At 45.4% G+C, this 23028-nt stretch overlaps 1 protein-coding gene across 1 annotated transcript in view; it reads right to left on the bottom strand.

The window, feature by feature from the left end:
• EPHB1 (EPH receptor B1) overlaps positions 1 to 23028 on the bottom strand; it is a 465208-nt gene that overhangs the window by 428639 nt on the left and 13541 nt on the right. The gene's annotated exons all lie outside the window — the stretch shown is intronic.

Below are 23028 nucleotides of genomic sequence, written 5' to 3'. Positions count from 1 at the left end.
AATATAGAATCTCCTCTTTGAGAAATCAGAAAATCTCAGAAGCACGTATTGCTTCTGTAACCAGAGGAAAAGGCAATAAATGTTATAAAACGGGACAAAAAGCTACTGGGCCAAGCCACAGTGGCCTGAAGGCAGGGAAAGCAGCTGTCTTTCCATGTGCAGAGAAGCAATGTTTAGGAGAGTGAAGGGATCGAGAGTCAGCCTAACCAAAGTGGAGAAAAGGTCTTTGAGGACATGGCGGCAGCTTGTGGGAACTTCTATGGAGATGTTTGAAGGGAAGGAGGAGGCATCCGAGGGGTGGGATAGGCAGAAGCAAACTTCTATTACTTTTTTGGAATCAGACAGGGCAGAAAGGTCCCTAAATTTTGTGAACTTGAGGAAAGAAAGCTGGAGAAAGTGAGGATGAGAAAGTGTGAAAGGCCATGGCCCGAGAGTATCTGCTGGTTCCTAAGTCTGCCCAGCTGTGGGATTGGGCAGCTGTTCTAGAATCGTGGGATCAGAGTCCTGCTCAACAGGCCATAGCTCCCTTTGTGGGAATCTGTAATGCTGTGGGCCCACTCCTGGTCTCCCAGCTGCCCTCCTCTGCTCCAGGACAGGTTAGAGGCCACATTTTCAAGTGTTTTCAGAAATCTGGGAAGCAATTTGCCAGGGGCAGGACACTGGGTCTCAGTTATACTAATGAATGGCCCCCTTATGATTCATCTTCTCACCAGAGACTATTCTGGAATTTCTTTATTGGAAGGGTTTAGGGGAAGCACTCTGGTTAGATGGAAGATGCTAGAAGCTACATATTCCTGGGAGCTTGCATGACAGTAGGAAGTCATTGTCCATTTCAAGAATGGAGAGAAAGCTGATGGAGGGTAGGAGGAGTTTAAAATCCCTTCCTCAAGGCCCTTGCTGAGGTTTCCACTTGGCATTCATCATCCAGGGCTTCTACCCTTTCTTGACTCAGTCTGTAGCACCCTTGTATCGAGGACAAAGATGTCAGACTGTCCAGGGCAGAAGGCATTTCAGCATCTTATGGCCCACCAGACACTAGCTGGGAGGGCAAGGTTGCATCTGCGGCCCAAGGCCAGGCAGAGGTCAGGCCAGAAGGGAACCCTTGAACACGGTCATGCCCATCAGCCTGCCAAGGACTCCCAGAACACTCTCCTACACATGTTTCGTTTTTGAGAGGGAAAAATAATAATAAGCACCCCCTTCCAAGGAAAGCTCATGCTTTTTGCTAGTGGCTTCAACCATGCTGCCTTTCTCTGAGTGCTTCCCTCACCTGCCATGCTCCTCGGCCCAGACCCCCATCTCCAGATCAAAATTCCCCAAAGCTCCCTGCAAAACTCCCCCACCATCCTCAGGACAATGTGCATGTATGTTAATAAAAATTAAAATTTTAATTGAAAATATTTTAAAGATAAAAGAGATCAGAAGAAATATCATTTTGCAATAAAGGCAATAGGAAAATTAGTGAAATATGGCATGCTACAGGTGAGATAGCACTATAATAATATTGTATGTGTGTTAATTCCCTGATTTTGATTATTGTACTGTGGCTAGGTAAGAGTTTTTACTGCTTTTAGGAAACAGACACTGAAGTAATTAGGAGTAAATGGGCATATGTCTGCAACTTATTGTCAATCGATTCTGAAAAGAACAATTACATGTATATATGGCACATATGTGTGCAGGGGAGGAATGAGCACAACGTGGTAAAATGCTAACACTGGAGAAATGCAGGTGAAGGGCTGTATTAGCTTCCTGGGGCTGCTGTAACAAAGTACCACCAACTGGTGACTTTCACAACAGAGACTTATCTCACAGTTCTGGAGGCAGAAATCTGAAATCACGGTGTTGGCAGGGTTGGTTCTTTCTGAGGGCTGTGAGGCAGAATCTGTTCCAGGCCTCTCTTCTAGCTTCTGATGGTTTGCTGGCAATCTTTGGTGTTCTTTGGCTCACAGACACATCACTCTGATCTCTGCTGTCATGTTCTCATGGCGCACTCCCTGTGTGCATGTCTGCGTCCAAATTTCCCATTTTTATAAGGACACCAGTCATGCTGGAATAGGGACCTATCCTATTCCAGTATGACCTCATCTTAATTTAACTGCTTATTCTGCACAGACCCTATTTCCAAATAAGGGCACGTTCTGAAGTTCTGGGGATTAAGATTTTAACATACCTTTTTAGGGGGACACAAGTCAATATTTAATAAGAATATACTGGAGTTGTTTGTAATATACTTAAAACTTTTCTCTAGGTCTGAAATTATTTCAAAATTAAAAGTTTTTTGCAAAGATAAACAGAAAGAAGCTCTAAGAAGGATTGAAGGGAAGGTGTGCAGGGGAGGAAAGCATTATTGAGGGGATGCCTTCTCAGAGACGCAGGGTTCTAAAAGCCCACCAGCAAACAGCTTTTGAGAGGTACTGAGTTGCCTTCTCCTGATAGGTCCTCACGGCCCCAGGACAAAGAGAGTCCTCCACTCAACCACCCCCACCCCCAAAGTCTTACCTTGGAGAGGAAACTCTCATGATTTGGGTTGAAAACATGAATTTATTTTTTTCCCTCCAAAACAAGCCTGGAGCAGAGCACACTTGCCCAGCATCTCAATAGATGCTAGTGGTGGTTAATTAAAAGAATGTTGCTAAACAAAGACAGCTAAATAATTGTGTGTCTCACAGAATTTTATTCCTTAACTTGTATCTCTTAAAAATAGCACACTCCATATGAGAGTTTTCCTTTTATTCAAATCATGTCTGAGAAACAGTGCATTTATACAGCAGTACTTCATCTACTCAGAGAAGGAAGGAGCCCCAGGAATTGGTTAGCATTCCCCAAAATAGGGTATGACCTGGGTGATCAGAAGGCCCCAACCCTGCCAGCTTCCTCCAGCTCATGTCTCAGCCACTCAGACCTCCTCCTTTATCACGTCCAGGGACGGGACCCTGCAGATACAGGAAATCTTGGGGTGGCATCTTTTTAACTAGGAACTTCTCATACTTGAGAAGCATCACCAAACCAATCCAGGTGTCTATGCCCTGATTTGGTGCCCATACATGCCCAGGACTTCACTGAGCATCTCCAGGAAGCACCATTAGACCCCTTCCCTGGCCTGCAGCCTCCTTCAATCCCCAAGTGTCCCTCAAAGGGCCATTCTCCATCCTCCATCCTTGCCAGTCACTCCCGGCCAACTGCAGAGAATGGAAATAGCGCTAGGCAGAGCATCAGGTAGGGTCTTCACTTCTAGCTGTGCCCCAAACTCACTGCCTGACCCTGGGGCAGTAATTCAGCCACTTGGGATCTCAGGTTCCTGATCTATAAAATGATAGATTGAGGCAGATGCTAGGAATTAACACATATTTTTCAAGTGTAGTGGCTCAACTAGGGACTAGGCTCCAAGAAAGTTCTAACTAACCAGGAAAAGAGCAAAAGGACAGTCTCTCAGCCTAAAATGCTCCATTTTTTCTCATCCCACTTGGGAAGCTGTGAGAACCACACCAAACTTCTCATTACACTATATTCAAAGTCTATTAAGACTCCATGATCTTTTTTTGTTCCTACTCACACAGTGTTGGTTTTACCTACATCCTTTGCTGCAGTGATTTTCAACAACCCTTCACCAAAAGCCCCAAATGCCAAACACGTGAATTTTGCACATTTATTCCTACTTCATGGAAACTATCCAATGGGCCAACTTCCCTCAATGGGGCACCACAAAAGAGAAGGCAGGAGTCCATAGCACAGAAGGAAGCCACCCATGGACCAGGCAGTTCAGAAGGCTTCCTCAGTTCAGGAAAGTTTGAAATAGGCCAAAGGGTACAGAAGGGTTCAGATGGAAAGGGTGAAAAATGAGGGCAGAAAAAAAAGCATAAACAAAGAGATGCTGGTGAGGAGAGAGGATTGCCCATCTGAGGAGCAGCCCAGCAAGACAATGAGGATGCCAGGCAGAGAGGCAGGCAATGCAAGGGATGTGAATGAAAGGCTTTGCAGGTCGGTTTCTGCCAGCCAGCACCCACTCACCCTATTTTTCCTAACTGTCTGTGTACTCTTGATTTGCAATTTCACCCCTCCCCATTCTCAGTCTCTGCCTTTAAAGTGCCGCCTCCACCCCAGCTCCCCAGGGAAAGGAGCAATCTAGGCCAAACAGTGAATTCTAGCCCCTACACATGTTGACTGGTTGAGAACTAAACATGCTACACATTGAAACTGGGATCATTCAGAATGACCCTCAGGACTTGTGCAGGAACTACCAAGAAATTAGTCTCCCTGTTTCTGCTGTAGTCACAACATAAACCTGATGATCATGATAGGAGAGCTTTAGGCTAACCCAGAGGAAGTGGGGCTGAAGACAGAGGAACAGTCCCAATAGCATCTTAAATGCAGTCATGCCCGAAACTAGTACTGCACAGTACTTTCAATCACAGAAGCCCATAAGGAGTGTGTGTGTATGTGTGTGTGTGTGTGTGTGTGTGTGCACGCGCACCCGCGCACATCTGTTGATTTTGTTTCCTGTCACTCAAAACCAAAATAATTGTAATGGGAAGCTTAGATTATAGAGAAGAAGAAGCACTAGACTAAGGCGTTAGAGAAACCTGGCCAGATCCCAGCATTACCATATAGTAATTGTGTGAATTTGTAAGTAAGCCACTTAGGTTCTACAAACCTCCGTCTCCTCATCTATAAAATGGGCATAATAATTCATGAGTTGACTCATGTGAAAGTGCCAGCTCCTTGAGTAATGGAATCTGTGGTGTTTGTACTTGATGCAGGAGATGCTGCAGCATTCTGAGCAGAGAACTCACTGGAGGGAAAATTATTCCAGGCCCTGTACAGGCAGGATGGGGCCAATGATCCCTGCCACCCAGGGAACCTATTGCATGCACTATGCTATCCAGGTTGAAAAGTGGTAAAATACCCCATGGATGTTGCGTCAGATGTTCAGAGAAGAGAGCTGAAGCATCTTTCACACTGTGTGCCCTGCTCACCAGGGCATGCTGAATAAGAAGTCACCTATGCCACCCTGGCCTTTCCCCCTACAAAATAGAAAGATGACTCTTGCCCTCTTCCCTCGGGAACGGGACAAGAATTAACTATGAGCTCTACAAACTACTTTGTACTCCCTGTGGAAAAGCTGCTATATAGCTACAAGGGGGTGATTAATTTTATCTCTCTAAATGTCTCAGTATCATTTGCCAAAATGATGATTTATTATTTAGACAACCTTTATATTTCCAAGGGGCTTTAAAAATCATTTATAGTGGAGAATGAAATAAAACTGATTAGGGCCCTGAAAAACAGGAATGGTGAAGAAATGTACAAGGAACTGGGGGTTATTTATTCACAACCAGAGAAGGCAAATGAAGGACACAGCAAGATCCATCGATTATATGCAAAGCAGAACTGCTAAGGAGAGGCCCGTATCTTCCCCCATATGATGATGGGAAAGAGAAACCAGAAAAGACAGCAATGCATCTGGACTGGTGTAGGCTAGATATCAAGCAGATAACAAGAAGAACTTCCTAATTGTATTCTGGCTCTTAGCTCAGCATCTAAAAAACATTTTCAATTGCTTTTTTTTTTTTTTTTGAGATGGAGTCTCACTCTGTCATCCAGGCTGGAGTGCAGTGGCACAATCTCAGCTCACTGCAACCTCCACCTCCTGGATTCAAGCAATTCTCCTGCCTCAGCCTCCAGAGTAGCTGGGATTACAGGTATGCTTCACCACACTCGGCTGATTTTTTTTTTTTTTTTTGTATTTTTAGTAGAGACGGGGTTTCACTATATTGGCCAGGCTGGTCTCAAACTCCTGACCTCGTGATCCACCTGCCTCAGCCTCCCAAAGTGCTGAGATTACAGGTGTGAGCCACCGCACCCAGTCTCAATTGCCTTTTATAGATGATAGTTGAAGTAAAATAAAATGTAGAAAAACAATGCAGATATGGTAAAAGAAAGGCATCTTCAAGGAATGATAAAAGATGAGAAAGACAGTAGAAAACTGGGAGGGGGAAATTTAATCCTTCTTTCAGGAAGAAAAGGATCGTGAAAGGATGCCATGAGCCAAACCATGGTGGATGAAGGAGACTGGAGTATACTAATATGCAGAGAAAGCATAGAAAGCTCCTGGAGGCAACATGGGTTGAGTAAGAACAAGCCCCACCAAACCTATTCCCTTTCCTTCTTGAAAATTTCCCTAGGACACAAGATCATGGTGTACCTAGATTTCAGCAAAGCACTTGCTGAAATGGACCATATGGAGAACTGCAGGCCAGGGCAAGTACAAACTGGTGAATTCACAGCTCACAGAAAAATGGTACCCAAAGAGGGTCCAACAGAAGCAGCATCCCCTGTGGGATATTACTTCTGTCCTCTTTGGCATTTTTATAGGCTTAGATGAAACCCTGCAAGGGACACTCATTCAATCTCAATTGCTGGGATGCTTGGCTAAACCCAACCAGATGAAATGAACAGTTCTGCACACTTAGGTTCAAAACCATCCCATTAGAGCTACAATAGACCTGGCCTGATTGACATTTATGTCGCCAAACTGAAGACCAACTGCCAAGCTTCTAAAACTGACAGATGATCGTAACATCTCCAGCCTGCCTCCTTTAGGGCAGGATTCACCAAGAGGCAGGCCTGCACTGGCCATCCCCTTCCCATTATAGAGGTCTTCAGTCACATGCCAGGACTGTGACCACTGACCCTGGACCTGTCTGGGTTTTATCTTACATAGCAAATTCAAGGGACTGCTTGTGTTCCTGTTATCTATTGAGTGTAACAAATTACCCGCAAAATTTACTGGCTTGAGACAGTAATGTTTTATTAGCTCTTACAGTCCTGCAGGTTGGCCAGGCCCAACTGGATAGTTCTCACTTGGGGTGGCTCAGGAGGTTGCAGTCAGATGTTGGCAGGAGCTGCAGTCATCCAAAGCCTCTACTACTGCTTGATGCCAAAATGGCCCACTCACATGGCTGGCAGTTGGTGCTGGCTGGCAGTTGGTGCTGGCTGTCAGCTGGAAGCTCACCTTGGGCTGTCAATTGAAGTACCCATACATGGCCTCTCCATGCATCTTAACAACACAGCGACTAGGTTCCCAGAGTGAGCTTTCTAACAGCTAGAGTCCCTAGAGATCCAGGTAAAAAGCTGTGAGGCTGCTTCTGACCTAGCTTTAAAAGTCCCAGACCATCACCTCTGCCACATTTTACTGGTCAAGCAAGTCATCAAGTCCAATCCATACTTAAGGGGAGGAAAGTTAGACTCTGGGTTGGCAAGTTCCCATCACCAAAGAGCTTGTTGGATGGGAGATAACTGCTGTAGCATCTTTGAAAAATATAACTGGCCTCTGCTTTTGACAACAGGGAGCAATGTGATGAGAAGGATTCCAATTAGCAAAAGTATTGTCATCAGTTAGTGATGTGCTGCTGTGTGCCACACCCTAGGAACCCAGACCTAGGCCCTTCAAACCCAGTGTGCACCAACTGGCACTGTGCCCAGCAGAGTCAACATCGAGTTTCTGCCTCCCATTCTCCTTCCAGGGACCCACATGCCTCCCAGTACTTCACCCCCGACTGGCTCCGCCTCATTGTCATCTCCACCCTGATACGCCATATCAATGGGAATTAACAGCCTCACCATGCTGGGCACACAAGAAACTACCACTTAGTCAAGTGCAAGAGCTAGGATTACCAAAAAAAAAAAAAAAAAAAAAAAAAGGGCATTATCCTTTTTGTAAACATTCAGAGAAAACTCAGAGAAATTGTATTTGTTTTTGATTATTCTGAGTTTGCAAGCTGAAGCATTCATGGTTCATAAAACCCATGTATTTGTTCCAAATGTCAGTGTGCTTCCCTTTGTGCAGCAGCAGATGCTGGGCAGGGGGAGGGCTGATGGAAGGCCTTCCGCATCTGTGCTAATAGATCATGTCTTACAGCCTCCCCACCTTGGCTCACCATTTCCCTGCTTTCTTCTCATTCTGCTGTTGCAGGCATCTGTGACATCATAGCCTGTTGCCATGGAAACTGATGCTATCATAGACTTCTAACTTTAGGCAATAAAATTTCTTTGTATTGACAATTTCCTGAGTGAACATCAGCATGGATCTTCCCGTGTTTGAAGGAGAGTGGAAAACTTACCAGCTTCCTGAATATTTACTGAGATCTGCATGGCTAATTGCCTCATGGGAAGAGTAGAAAGAAACCTGGCTGGACCTAGAAGAGACTCTGGTGTTACCCTGCCAAGCTGGGCCTTGGTTTTCCTATCTGTAAAATGGAAATGATAGTGCGTAGCCTTTGGAGTTGTTGCAAGCGGTACATGAGAGTTTCCTGTTACGGAGCCTGAGGGAAGGCAGGTGCTCACCAGGCAGGCCTTCCTTCCCCAAGACCCCCAGACCTTAAACTTTAAGAGTTTGTGTGAGCTTTTTCAGCACAACCCCTGGCAGACATTAGGGTATGGGGATGAGAGCAACTGAGGGGACCACGATGACATGGACTTTGCTCCCCTCATTGTCACCTCCCTCTTTCTCCTGTCCTTCTGTCTTCACTGTCCACTGCTCCTGCGATCTGCCAGCTAAGCTAGTTCTACCTAGAAAGGGCTTCTCTCTGAACTGACTTTCTCCATCAAGGAGGCAGTTGAGTCGTTACTCAAGTTCACACCTTCTTCTGAGTGACTTAATGGCTTTTAAGCAAAAGCAATTATCTGAGAGGCCTCAGGCCCAAGGCAAAGCCAGTGGAGCTTTTAAACCAGGGTCTGGGCTCTTGGAATGTGCAGGGAATGAGTAGGCTGGGTGGTCCTGTAGTCCTGTGGTCCTGAGGAGTCATGTACCCCTCGCAACAACTCCAAAGGCTAAGCATTATCATTTCCATTTGACAGATAGGAAAATCACTTCCGCTTCCCTTTTCACCAGATCTGAGGCAAGGTTGCAGGCCTTGCCAGTCACCCACACCTGATCCCTGTGTGAACTGCCTGGGTTCGTTTATGCCAAGCCAAAGCTACAATCTGCTACCCCAACTCCCACAAACAATCTCAGCATTTCTGAGAAAGACACAAATCTCTTCCAAGGTGACCAGAAAAAAATTTAAATTTAACTGCAAAAGAATGCTATTTTAAAATAGAAGGGTCTCTAATGTAACTTAGATCTGTCATCTTTGCAAAATGAGGCAAAAGACAAACAGAAAGCACTTTGGTGCAGGATGGTGCATAGAGAAAGCCTCTCCAGGGAGGGCTTGGAGTGGTCTTTGCTCACCAATAGAACAGAACTATATTCTACAACTTTAAGCAATATGTTAAATAAGAATTGTGGGCATTCCTCAAAAATGTTTAGGCAACTTCCTGACTTTAGGAAGTGATTCCTTTTTGCAATGGGAATGAAAAATAAATAAATATATGTTGGTTAGTGCCCCCATCACCCGGCATACCACATCAGCCTACACCAGCTCTGCTCACTCATGGCCAAATCTGAGTGAAGGGTGGTTGATCACGGGAGTTGAGAGAGGCCAGGGGCCCAGGAAGCCTAGGCTGGGGAGTGGTGTGTGGAGTTTGACCATGCCTGGACAGCAGCTACTGTGCTGAGTCACCGCTCAGACACAGCAACACAGGGCACAGCCAGTGTAGCAGCATGGCAGATAGGACCCCAGGAGCCACAGGGCCTAAAGCTTGGTCCCAGGCAGTGGTCAAGCAGAGGGAAGGGGACGTCTTTGCCAGCTATGGCACTCCATTACAGCTGGAACACATCCCCAGCATTAGATATGAAGCAGAGATATCTCCTACCTCCTATACTCATCTCAGGCAGCACAAGGACTTATGGGGAGCTCCCTTCCTCCTCCTCCTTTTCAACATTGTCTTTCACTTTGCGTTTAACCAAAGTTCTCCTGGATGAAACTGTCCAGGAAGGGCCACTCTGCTGTTAACCCACTTGGTGTGTGACCTCAAGCTCTGACCTCCCCGATCTCTTTTCCCCCACAACTAGACCAAACCCAGGTTGGAAAAAAGGGAGATTGAGAAGGGCTGTATCCCAAAGGCATCACAACAGCACAGGCTCCCCCAGCCTCCCAGTGTCACCATTCCCAAACACGTTTCTGTTTGTATTAGATCTTTTCACACCCAAGAATCAGCAGAGAAAGACATAGGAGTCCTCCTTGAACATCAGAGCCAGGCTTCTGCCCTTCATCGCCTATGGTTTGGGAGTGTTTTCTTCTGCATTTTTCTTCTTTATTACACAATCAGCCTTTGAGTATTTTAGCTTTCTGGATTTCATGTTTTACCTTGTCCATAAGGGTTTATCCTTTTTTCACCACTAATTCTGTCTCCCCACCCCATCCACCTTTTATCTTTACCCTAACTTTTTCACTTTACTGGCTAATTCCTTTAAACAATTAATTGCCTGGGTATTTTTTTTTTTTACCATTTTACTATCATTTTTATTTTTACAGATTCTTAATTCTAATATTTTTTCCTTAACTTTAAAAATCCTGTGATGGTTAACTTTATGTGTCAACATGACTGGAACATGGTCGCTCAAGTAACTGCCAAACATTACCCTGTGTGCTTCCATGAGGGTGTTTTTGGATGAGACTAACATTTCAATGAATGGACTGAGCAAAGCCAATTGTTTCCCCTTAATGTGGGTGGGCCACATCCAATCAGTTGAAGGCTTGAATAGAACAAAAAGGCTGACCTTCCCCAGAATATGCCTTTGGGCTGGGACATCAGCTTTTTTCCTACCTTTGGATTCAAACTGAAACATTGGCTCTTCCTGGGTCTTTAGCCTGCCTTCATTCAGACAGAACTACACCATTAGCACTCATGATTCTCAGGCCCTCTGATGTGGACTGGAACTACCCATCAGCTCTCCTGGGTCTCCAGCTTGCCAATTCACCCTGTAGATCCTGAGACTTGCCTGCCTTCAAAATTATGTGAGCCAATTCTTTATAATAAATCTTAAATAAATAAATAAATATCCTATTGGTTCTGTTTCTCTGGAAAACTCTGACTAATACAAACCCTTTCTCCCTTTTAAAGCGTATCTGGTTTTTGTTTCTTTTGACCAGCATTGGGAACAGCAGGTGCAAACGTTCCGGGGCAGGAGGAAGCATGGAGAGTTCCAAGAAAAGAGAAAGCAGCCTGGGGCCGAGTGGTGGGAGTGTGCACTGTAGGTAACCCAGGCAAACACAGATAAATACAAAATAAAATAAAATAAAACATCAAGAACTTGCTGTGAAAGAATTGCTTGAGCTCTAATTATTCTGGCTGCTTGTCTCTGCATGGAATAATATTAATAGTTTTGTGCCTGTGATTAGAGGGCCCAGCCTCTGGAGGCTAAAAAGTTACCTTTAAGCATCTCTTCCCCCCGATTCTTCTCTTCATAAAGGCAGCCAGTTTCTGGTCCAAGGGGGCATTCTGTAAACACTGGAAGGAAGGGAGGGAAGAAAGGAGGGAGGAAGGAATTTTCTGAGCCCTCTGGTAGAGAGGCCTCCCTTAGGGGCAGAGAAGCATTTGTCTCCATGCCTAGACTATGGAGAGGTTGTGGTTTTCCTGCAGGGATACTGCTAAGTGCTCCCTAAACCTGCTTTTCCCAGACATGGAGGCTCCCTCCATTTCTCAGCTTGGTCCAGATGGGACCATGAGAGTAGTCTTTGCCAATGGAGTGGAAGAAAGAGGGAGTGATGTTTCTCTCCCAGGCTGAGATAGGTAGGAAGGTAAGAGTAAATTTGCCTTTTCCTCTGTCAGCATTTATCAACAGGGTCTACTAGTATGGGTCCCTGAATGACAGGAGGGGTGGGTGAGGGGAGGGGAAGGGGACAGAACCCCACCACGGGCCTCACCAGACTGTGATATGAGTGAGAAATAAACTTTTATCTTGTGGGCTAAAAAATTTGGAATCAGGTGTTACAGCAATTAGCTGACACTGATTAAATCAGAAATTGGCATGACAGGTGTCCATGTGTCCCCTGCGCTGGGCCCACCCAAGCAAGGCAGAAGAGCAAGAAGTATGGGATGGGGCATCTGTAGGCAAGACCGGGCTAGAAAAGAAGGCAACAGAGGCCTCCCAGGCAGACAAAAGTGAGAGAAGCTTTGGCTGTGGGAACACAAGATCCAAGGGCAACTACCTTTCCCACAAAAAGAAGCTGCAAGGGCAGTGTCTGAGCAGCCTGGGGAGGCACAGGGATGTGCAGGGTAGGGACTCAGCTGCTCCAAGCAGAACCCCACACTGCTGCATTGAGAAGGGAGAGAAGAGGCACAGAGAAGGGAGGAAACATTTATTGAGTGTCTGCTACATACCAAGCCTTGTCTGTACCAGGCAATCCATCTATGTTATCTCATTTACTCATTCCAAAGCCCCTATAATGGGATATGATTCATTCCCATTTTATAGAGGAGCTACTTCCAAGGCTTACACCTACAGACTGGTCAAGTGGAGATGAGAACCTGGTCTGGGAGATCACCACATGGGCACCCTTCTGCCTCCCTCGTAGGAAATGGGAATTCACTAGCAGGGAACCCATACTGCCTGCTGGCCCCGTGAAAGACACCTATGCACAAATGGGAGGCTGCCATCCCCTAAGGCATAGGGAGAGGGAGGACACACATCAAACAGAAGCTCCGACTGATTATGGAAGTGATAGTGATTAGACAGAGGTGTGTTTATGCCTACCTAACGTCCATTTCTCTATGCTCAGAAGTTCACCTCTGCATACAGCAAAAATCCCACCTGCCAAAACATTATCTTGTCTTATAACTCATGTTTAGACCCCTTTCTATCCTGCCTAAACGGCCCCCTTCACTCATAAACTGGCTACTAACCTTTGCATTATAGTCTGAAGATTGAATCAGCTCCCACCTCCTGCCTCCACCTCCTGTTTCCAGCCAGGCTGCCCTCAGCCTCTGTTCATCTTCTCTGCTCACCTCGAAACACAGTCCTGAAAGGGGAGGGGCCAGATGCTTGGAGGGCTCTCAAGAGACCCAGAGAGAAAAGTCATTATTTGAAAGAAACACTTGCACGTGCATGTTTATAGCAGCACAATTCAGAATTCCAAAATCGTGGAACCAACCCAAACGTCCACCAATTAAGGAGTGGATAAAGAAACTGTGATAGATATATAGTATATAGGATAGAATATGAAATACTACTCAGCCATAAAAAGGAATGAATTAACGGCATTTGCAGTGATCTGGATGAGACTGGAGACTATTATTCTAAGTGAAGTAACTCAGGAATGGAAACTGATACGTGGGAGCTAAGCTATGAGGATGCAAAGGCATAACAAGGATACAATGGATTTTGGGGACTTTGGGGTAAGAGAGGGAAGAGTTGAAGGGGGGCAAGGGATAAAAGACTACAAATATGGTGCAGTGTATACTGCTTGGGTGATGGGTGCACCAAAATCTCACAAATCACCACTGAAGAACTTACCCATGTAACCAAATACTACCTGTACCCCAATTACTTATGGACAAATAAAATTTTAAAAAGAAACACTATGACTGTCCCCAGCAGCATGGACATACCATAAGGTCATACATCCTAAGCCAAGGAGGCTGCCTGCCTGTCAGCCTCTTAAACAGGGTTCCAAGGACTTTCAACCTCATTATCCAAGAGCTGGCTGTAGGTTTCTCTTCTTGTTGAATGAAGGGTTAAATGAAAGTAGGGTAGAGAAAGTGAATTCCCCAGTCATTGCCTTACAATCACCTAGGAGTGTGAGATGGTCACCTAAGGGGCCTATCCCAGTACCTGGACATGCCTTCCCTCTTCACATCTTTCCTCTCCACATGGCTCTTAGGAAAGTCAGTGGAATGGAGAACTCCACAAGCTGAGCCAGGAGTGGGGCGGGGAAAAGCATTAAGAAGCCACCTGTTTGAAGAGTGGGTAGGAACATAGGCACAGGACCTCAAGAGGTGTCTGTGAACCTGGCTGCATGTGGCAGACAGTTCTCCCGACCGCCAGTCATTGCGCTTTCCCCCTCTGGGCAGGGGCTTGGGATATTGGATCTCATTTCCCTCTATGGATGACCATTCCACCAGGCTTGGGCCAGGAGCTGTCCACCAGAATCAATCGTAACCACCATTATAAGAACAGCTTGTGTTTCCAGAGCACATCCCAGTTTACAAAGCATTTCCCATACATGGGCTCTGATTCCTACTCAACAACCTCTTACTGAAGAGCTCAAAGAGAAAGAGGTTGGACCACATCATCCCCAATGGACAGGTAATGAAACTGAGAATGAAACTTCAGAGAGATTAGGTGGCTTTCCAAGGTCACGCAGCTGGTAAATGTGAGCCAGTTCTCTGACTCCCAATAGCAGCCTCTTGCATGGATTCATACCTTCAGGTCTAAGGCCACGGTGGGGACAGAAACTACAGAGCTCCATGTGCACTCCTCTGCCAGGACAGGGAAGTGTGCCACCCACTTCCAGCCCTCCACATGGCCTCAGCTCTGCCACGCTGGCCAGAAGCCTGAGAACCAGGTGCTGGGTGAGCCATGGCACCCGGCCCTCTAAACGGTGAAGGAGCTGTGACGACTAGAATTGCAGGCAATACTGACATTGTTCTACAGAGGAGAGAAAATGTCAGTGAGTACACTGTCCAGTGCCCCCCAATTCCTGGGGCCACAGAGAGGGGAATGGGCTGACTGGGGCCTTCAAACTTTATTTTTATTTACAAAAACAGGCAGCCCATAGTCCATGGTTTACAGAATTTGATTTAAAAAAAAAACTACATTCATATATTACTTACCTTGATTAATCTTTAGTGCCCCCTTAAACTTTGCTCCAAGTGGCTGCCTCCTTCTTCTTACCCTAGTCCCTGTTCCTCCCTTTTCCCACAAACTGGAATCCTGGTGAGATGGGAGGAAGTCCTGGAGACGGCAGAGAAGGCAGCAGTGGTCCACAGGCCCTTTCCTTGCTCTGCTGGGTCTGCTAGGAATTCGTCCAGACCTGCTCACACTGAGGGTGAGTGCCCCAGGAAGCCCTGCTGCCTAACCACTGAGACGCCTGCGACTCTTGGCCATGATACGTCATGTCAGGTTACTGAACATCGCCCCAGCACACGTGCCTGAATATCAGCTTTTCTAAGCTGCTTAGAACATTGGCCCTCCAAGTCTATGGGAGTAGGCAAGGACTACACACCAGCAATAGATGGGCCAGACAAGGTATTGGCAAGCAGAAGAATGATTTAGGGATCAATTTTCCCAGAGGAGGGTGCCTGGGAATCTGTTTCAAATGAAAAGAGAGATACAGAAGAAATGACAATACTAATAACTACCACGGGCTTTAAACACCTTATCTCATCTATCTCACAACGATCATGTGAGGTGAGTACCACCATCCCCACTTACGGGACGAACACACAGAGGCCATAACTGGGAGGTTATGTAGTTTGTTCAGTGTCAGAGGTGGAATTCAAATCCAGACCTGTCTGAATCCAACACTCAACTGCTTCAGGAAAAAAATCCAGCCAGGCACGGTGGCTCACACCTGTAATCCCAGCACTTTGGGAGGCGAGGTGGGCGGAGCATTTGAGGTCAGGAGTTCGAAACCAGCCTGGCCAACATGGTGAAACCCCGTCTCTACTAAAAATACAAAAAAAACAAAAAAATTAGCTGGCTGTGGTGGTGTGTGCCTATAATCCCAGCTACTCGGGAGGCTGAGGCATGAGAATCGCTTGAACCCAAGACGTGGAGATTGCAGTGAGCCGAGATCACACCATTGCACTCCAGCCTGGGTGACAGAGCAAGACTCTGTCTCAAAAAAAAAAAAAAAAACAGAAACAGAAAAAGAAAAAAGAAAAAAAGTACCTCAGAGGCAGAAGGACAACGTGCAGAGGACACGGCGTGTGGCCCCAGCATTTACCTTTGGTGGTTACTTAATCTTTCTGCATCCCAATTTCCATGCCCCCCAAAAAACAAATGTGTGCTGATAAATAAATATGGCACAATAACAACAACTGTTGAAACTAGGGGCAGGGGCTGTGGCATGGGTGTTCACTTCAGCATACTTTTGACTTTTCTATACTTTTGGAAATATTCATAATAAATTTGGAAAACAACAAAATGTCCCCAGGTCAAAACTGATATATGACCCCATCAAAGAAAGTCCCTGGCATCAAAATAGCTGAATAAAAATAGCTACATTAAACAGCTGCACCAACCCTCCACAGCATTGTGGGAATATAAATTGGTTCAGCCTTTTTAGAGGGCAACTTGCAACATCCATCAAACTTTGAAACAAGGCGCACTGTTTTCTTAAACTTTTTATTTTAAAGAAATAGCAATCACACAAGAAAGTTGCATGAATGGAACCAGAAACCCCCATATTCCTTTTACCCTGATTCACCAATTTTTAACATTTTGCCACATTTGCTTTTTCATCTTCTCTTTCCTCACCACATATATTTTATGGTACAATAGGATATATCATAATATGATATTACATATATATTTTATTATATACACATTTATTATATTATATACACACATTCATCTGTTTATTTTCCTCCTTGAGCCACCTGAGAGCAGGTAGCATACATCATGGCCATTTACTCCTTAATTCCTCAATATTTGTTTCCTAAGAACAAGAATATTCTCTTATTTGACCACAATGCAGTTACAAATTTGGAAATATTAACATTTTGTTATAATACTTTCATCTAAGGAGACCCACTCCCTGAATTTTGGAAGGCTATATTCCAATTTTGTTTGTTGTCCAAATCATATCCTTTAAAGCAATTTCTTAGTATAGGGTTTGTTACATTAACTTGTCATGAATCTTAAGTATTCTTTAATCTAGGATAGCTCTTTTTAAAAATTGCTCAAAATAAGCTTGTTAATTTATTTAAAGAGGCTGCTTCCCTGATGCAGAAGTTTAGAGACTGGGACTCTCGATCCAGGCACAACTGAATTTAGTTGTTTTGAGGTGAGGTCTGAGGGTCTGCATTTCTAACAAACTCCCATGGGAACCCAAGCCCTGGCCCAAAGGCCACACACCGAGTGGTGACACCAAAGAAGACCGTCTGTGAAGAGCTGGTCCAGACCACCACAAGATGCACTTGCTTTCCTCTGAATGAAGCTTCGTCTGCAATGGCAACTGGACCCTGGGACTTGGGACGCAACAAGATGCAGAGCCTTCCCTCACAGGAACTCCTCCTGGGCTTTCTAGAGCCAGGAAGTCCAAGACAGAGAGGCACAAGTCACTGAAGAAGGCTTTTCTGCAGGTTCCCCATTTCGGATGATTCTGGCCCAGGACAGGGAAGCCTGTTGAGAAGAGAATTCCTATGCCCTGCCTTTTCTATCAGCATCAATCCACTATACCTTCAATAGGTACCTCCTCCTCCAGGAAGCCATCCTGGTTACCATAGCCCACTCTAAACTAACTGTCCCCTGACCTCCTACATCACCGAGCCCCTGGCTATATCACGGAGCACTTACTTGAATGTAATTGCTATTTCAGGTACCTTTTCTTTCCCTTCTCCTTGCTTCTGCTTCTGCTACTTCTCACTCATGATATGCATCCTCATCACTCTCCCCTCTACATGTTCAAGGCCCAGCTTATCCATAAGTATACCCTAGCAAAAAGTCTCTTCAATGACAGATTCCTTGCCTGAACCATCTTCAGGTATCTCCATCCAGCAACAGGTATATCAGTCTGATCTCCACAACCAGACATTCAGGTTTCCTATGCTTCCATTGCTTCTGTTTGCCACAAGTCCCTGGTTTTCTTGCCACGGTGGCATGCGCATCAGCCTCTCCCTGAGTGATCCTGGGCAGTGTGACAGGAGTTCAGTCCATCCATCCATCATTTACTAAGTGCCTACTCTGTGCCAGGCCCCGGGGTAGACTCTGGGGGCCCTCAGGGAGTCTCAGACAGTGGGGGTGCCTGCTTTTCTCAGAGCCAGAAGTGATGCAGCGTCAGCATCAGCTGCATCTTTGCTTTTGAGCATAAAAGGTGCTTGTGGGAAGTGACACAGGGCCCAGCTGATGGGCCCTGATGGTACCACTGCAGCCTTTGCATCCTTGTCATGTGTCACCTCCCCCATGATTACTGTGATCACTGATTGTCATCATGCAAATAACAGCAAACATGGCTGAAGTGCCTACATCATCCCCAGTGTTGGAAAGCCTGTAGAATCCTGAGACTGTCATTGAAAGCTAAGAAATGAGCCAAAGGCATTCTCTATGGCTTGAATGCAACAAGAACCAGAAAAGCTGGAAACCTCTTGGGAGTCAGAGCAGCTGAGAAAAAGGTGATGAACAGCCTCGGACACTCACAGTGTCCTATCAAATGGGCCCAGTCCTGAGAGTCCAGGGCTGGGCTAGGGGGTGCTTCCTCTGCATGGTTTCAGACCACCATTCACAGGACAATCTGTGCAGAAAAATTATACTTTTCTTCTCTAAAAGAAAGCCCCAAACCAAAAGATACCTGTCCCTGGAGAAGCAGGACCCTTGGGAATTTCTAGCTGATTTCTGCTGCCACCACCATGGAGGTACAGCTGCTCCTGCAATGCCAAGTAGAGGCAGGAGAATGCCCTTCCTTTCTACTGAGCAGTGTGATGGAGATGAGATTGGAACTGGAGGGAATGTATGGGAAATAAACACAGAGTAGCACAATCCCAGGTCATGTGAATTATGGCTTCCTGCTGAGGCGCACACACTCCCCTAACAAAAGCCCACTTTCTGAGGTCCTGGCCCCTGTTTGGGGGCATATTTCTTCCCTGATCATAAACCACCATCCATGTTGAGAAGATCATGGCCCACTCTTCCCCACTTCCAGGAATGAGACCCACCCAGCACAGGTACAAATTATGTCTTCTCGGCACAACAGGGCAACCCAAATTGTCTGGAAATAGTGTGAGTGGGGTCACTCTGTCACCTCCAGACAACCGTCCATGTTGAAAGCAGACCCAAAACAGAAAACCCAACAAAAAAAATGGACAAATATCTAAACATCCATTTCATCGGAGAATATATATGAGTGGCTAATAAACACATGAAAGACACATCAGGGAAATGCAAACGAAAACAAACAATGAGATGCCATGAGACACCCACCAGGGTGGTTAAAATTTAAAGACTGAAAATACCAACTGCTGGTGAGGATGTGGAACAACTGGGGGTCTCATACACTGCTGGAGGAAATGCAAGACACTTCAGCCACTTTGGAAAACAGACTGGCAGTATCTTACCAAGTTAACCTTACACTTACCATATTATCCAGGTATTTCCCCAAACAAAATGAACACCTATTTTTCATTTTGTGTTCACATAAAGACATGTACTCAAATATTCACAGTAGCTTTAATTATAAAAGCCAAAAACTATAAGCAAATGTCCACCAACTGTGAAATGGATAAACCAATTGTGAGATATCTATGCAATGGAATGCTACTCAGCAATAAAAAGAAAGTATAACACATGCCACAAAATGGATGAATCTCAAATACTCATGCTAAGTGAAAGAAGTCAAACAAATAAAGAGCACATACTCTATGATTCCATTTCTATGAGCTTTTAGAAAAGCAAAACAATAGAACCAGAAATTTTATCAGTGGTTGCCAAGGGTCAGCAGTGAAGGGAGGCACATGACCATGAAGGGACATGAGGGTGATGAGAACGATCTACATCAGGTGTGTAGGGTGGCTACATGACCACACTCATTTGTGAAACCTCACGGAATTGTACATCTAAAACCTATTATATGTAAATTATGCTTCAAGAAAGCCTATTTTTTTTCCAAAAATGGACCCCAACTCAAGTAACTATTTTCACATCCCTTGAAGTCAGGGCAGACATTCAGCGAGTAGGCACTGGCATAGCCGTCCGTACTTGTTAAAATCCTGAAATGCTTCCACACCTACTGGCAAGTCACTCCTGCCCAAGGCTTCTGAGTTACTCCTGTGCTCTCGTCCTTATCTGGGTCCTTCTGGATCTCCCTAGGATATCCAACAGCAGGGCTAATACCTGCTCAATAGGGGGCCTCCTGGACCAGCTAAGGTGGACATCCTTTCCGACTGTTTAGGGCCATACTGGGTAAAACTGATTTGGAAAAGATAGATGGTGCAAAGCTGAGCTCTAACTCGGCTGAGGGCCCACTAAGTCGCTGCCAGGTTTATTGTGTTTAGATCATGCATTCTCAGCAAAGGTGAAAACTGATTCCTGGCAAGGAGGAAGACTAAAAAGTCTTAGATCTTATAACGGTTTGTGGCCCACCAAAGGGCCTCAGTACATGAACAGATGTCCACAATATCTGTGCTATTAACATTCACAGGGTGTGGGGTGGTCAGGAAAAAAAAAAAGTCTTAAAAAGGCTTCTTAGGCCGGGCGCATTGGCTTATGCCTGTAATCCCAGCACTTTGGAAGGCAGAGGCAGGTGGATCACCTGAGGTCAGGAGTTCAAGACCAGCCTGGCCAACATGGTGAAACCCCGTCTCTACTAAAAATACAAAAATTAGCCAGCCATGGTGGTGCTCGCCTATAATTCCAGCTACTCGGGAGGCTGAAGCCGGAGGATTGCTTGAACTTGGGAGGCAGAGTTTGCGGTGAGCTGAGATCGCACCATTGCACTCCAGCCTGGGGACAGAGCAAGACAGAAAAAAAAAAAAAAAAAAAAACCTTCTTAGTAGGGGCAACTATGAGAATAAGGAATAAGGTTGAGAAATGCTGGTTTAGCTGCAAGAACTCTGTGATAGTGAGAACCTGGACACCACAGCCCCAGCCCCCAGACCTGAGAGTGGAATTCTCACCTGGGAGGCTAACCTGTGCAGAGGGTGTTGTGGGCATGTCTAGGTGGGAAGTGAGAGATCAGCTGGGAATGTGGGAAAGGGGGAGGGGCCACACGAGCCCTCACAGTCCTTTATGGGACTCCCCTTCTGGGGAAAAGCAGTCGCTCACTCTCCCTCCTATGAAAGTCTTTAACCCAACTCAACTCAGCAAATACTCAGGAGGACCCCTGAGAACCAGTACCCTGCTAGGCTTAGGCTAAATATATAGAGAGAGATGGCTGCAACTAGGACTGCACACTCAAGCCTAGCAGAGAGACACATAGAAACCCAAAGACTCCCACCCTTTGCTCCCAACATCTTATCTTTCCATTCCTATCTGGAGTCCACGATGGCAGAACTGCACCCAAAACATTCGGAGTTTTCAGCTGGTGTAAGTAATGAAGACAACTTCTAAATTAGTAAGTGCTATAGCTGAGTCCCCGGCTTTGTCAAGCTCAGCTGAACCAGAGCCTCCTTGGAAACACTTGCTTTGTACGCTGATACATTATGACAATACTATAATTGTTCTCTCAGTCTTTTCCCAGATATTTAATAACAACGTGAAGTGGGAGTTGCAAAGGTCAGTCCTCCTGTAGAATGAGCGTTGTTCTCATTGTCCTTTCCTGAATAGCGTCTTCCATTTGCCAGGCTGTTCTATGCCAGTGAGCCCTGGTGGTGGAGGCCTGGTGCTGTTAAAGAAGCAGCACCACCTACTCAGGGCAGAATATTCTAATTTGCTAAATGGTCCAGTGTCACTGTCTGTCTACATCATCTGCATAAATACACACACACACACACACACACACACACACACACTCCTCCTGTGCTACCCACGCTTCAAGCCCGTGAATGGAAAGAATGTTAATTGCCAAAAACCAGAGAAACCAGGTGATATACATATTTGCATACTCACTTGGGCAGTTACTCTTGTGCTCTGGTTAGGTGAGAAGATTTATCTCCTAGGACCTCAGATCAACAGAGTCACATACCTATGTTAAAACTTCCATTATGTTGAAAGCTCACAATAGTTGACAAATGGGTCTCTCTTAGCAGGATGCAGTATGTGAGCAAGGACTAGGAAGCAGCAGTGCCCTGAGCTCTCATCTCTCCTTGGCATGTTCCAATTGCCTGCCTGATCTTGTGGTAGTCATTCCTCCTTAGTGAACCTCAGCTGCCACATCCATTAAATGGACCTAATTCGCTGCCTGTCCAAAGACAGGACTCTCTTCCAATGCTGAGATCTGTGACTCTCTTTCTGAAAACATATCAGAGGGCAGCTTTCAGGAACCACTGGATTATCTGGGGCATTTCAGTGCGAGGGTTGCTCAGAAGTCTGCATGCTCAGATAAGGCAGGGAGTAATGGCATTATAATTCAGAATCCACGTGATGCTGTTAGTAAATGTGCTTCATGTCTAGGCAGGGCGTGGTTTGGTAACTCAGGCACCATAAAAGAGGGCGATGTAGCCCTGGCAGTCTGTGTCAGAGAGTAGCTTTGTACCTAATCCTGAGGGCATGATAGTTGCTAAGGAACCATTGAAATGCAAATGAATTGCCAAATACTTAGCAGCAAGATATCAGAAAAGGGTGAGGAGGAGATGCTCTGAACAAGTTAGTCAGGTGAGTGAAAGGAAAATTACTTTCTCCTGATTGGGAAAAGAAAGCCACGGGTTTTCATGCAGATCAGCAGCATTGTGCTACTGTGTTTTTTTAAAAAAAAAAAATCTGTTCTTTTTCTGCTTAGCTGGGAATAGAAGAAAGTTGGAGCCAAGAGCAGGGAAGTTGGAAGGGCAAATGGAGCCTTCTTCTGATAAACTCTAAGTACATTTTAGATCACTCTCTCTCTCAAATGAGAAAGAGATATCCAAGGTATGAAAAAAGTAGTCTGCAAATGACTTTGAAGATCTGCCATCTTATACAAGACTCAAAACCTAGGGGAAAAAGTACATCAAAAACTGTGAATAAATATTCTACTGATGCAAAATGGAAATTCCAGGTGAGACTAGGCCATGATTGAAATAGTGAAAAAGAAGGGAAATGAGCCAGCTCATTGTACCTATGAGTATGCATTTCTTTCATTCTTGCTCTCCAATGGATATCAAATTTAAATGCAGTGGTTAAATTCAGATGCTCTGGTATCTACATTGGAACCAGGGGATTACAGTGAGAAATTATGGCTCTTCGCCCATTGTTCTTCTCATCTTGCCCCTAAATAGGAACCCTCCTCTTTCAGTCTAGTTGAGATGCCCTAATCCAAAAATCACTTTGCCTTTAACCAAACACCACTGCTATCT

The sequence above is a fragment of the Homo sapiens genome, chromosome 3, assembly GCF_000001405.40.
Source record: "Homo sapiens chromosome 3, GRCh38.p14 Primary Assembly".
In the NCBI taxonomy this organism is placed as follows: domain Eukaryota; kingdom Metazoa; phylum Chordata; class Mammalia; order Primates; family Hominidae; genus Homo; species Homo sapiens.
The sequence above is the reverse complement of the archived record's forward strand: the minus strand, read 5'-3'. Positions and strand labels throughout refer to the sequence as shown.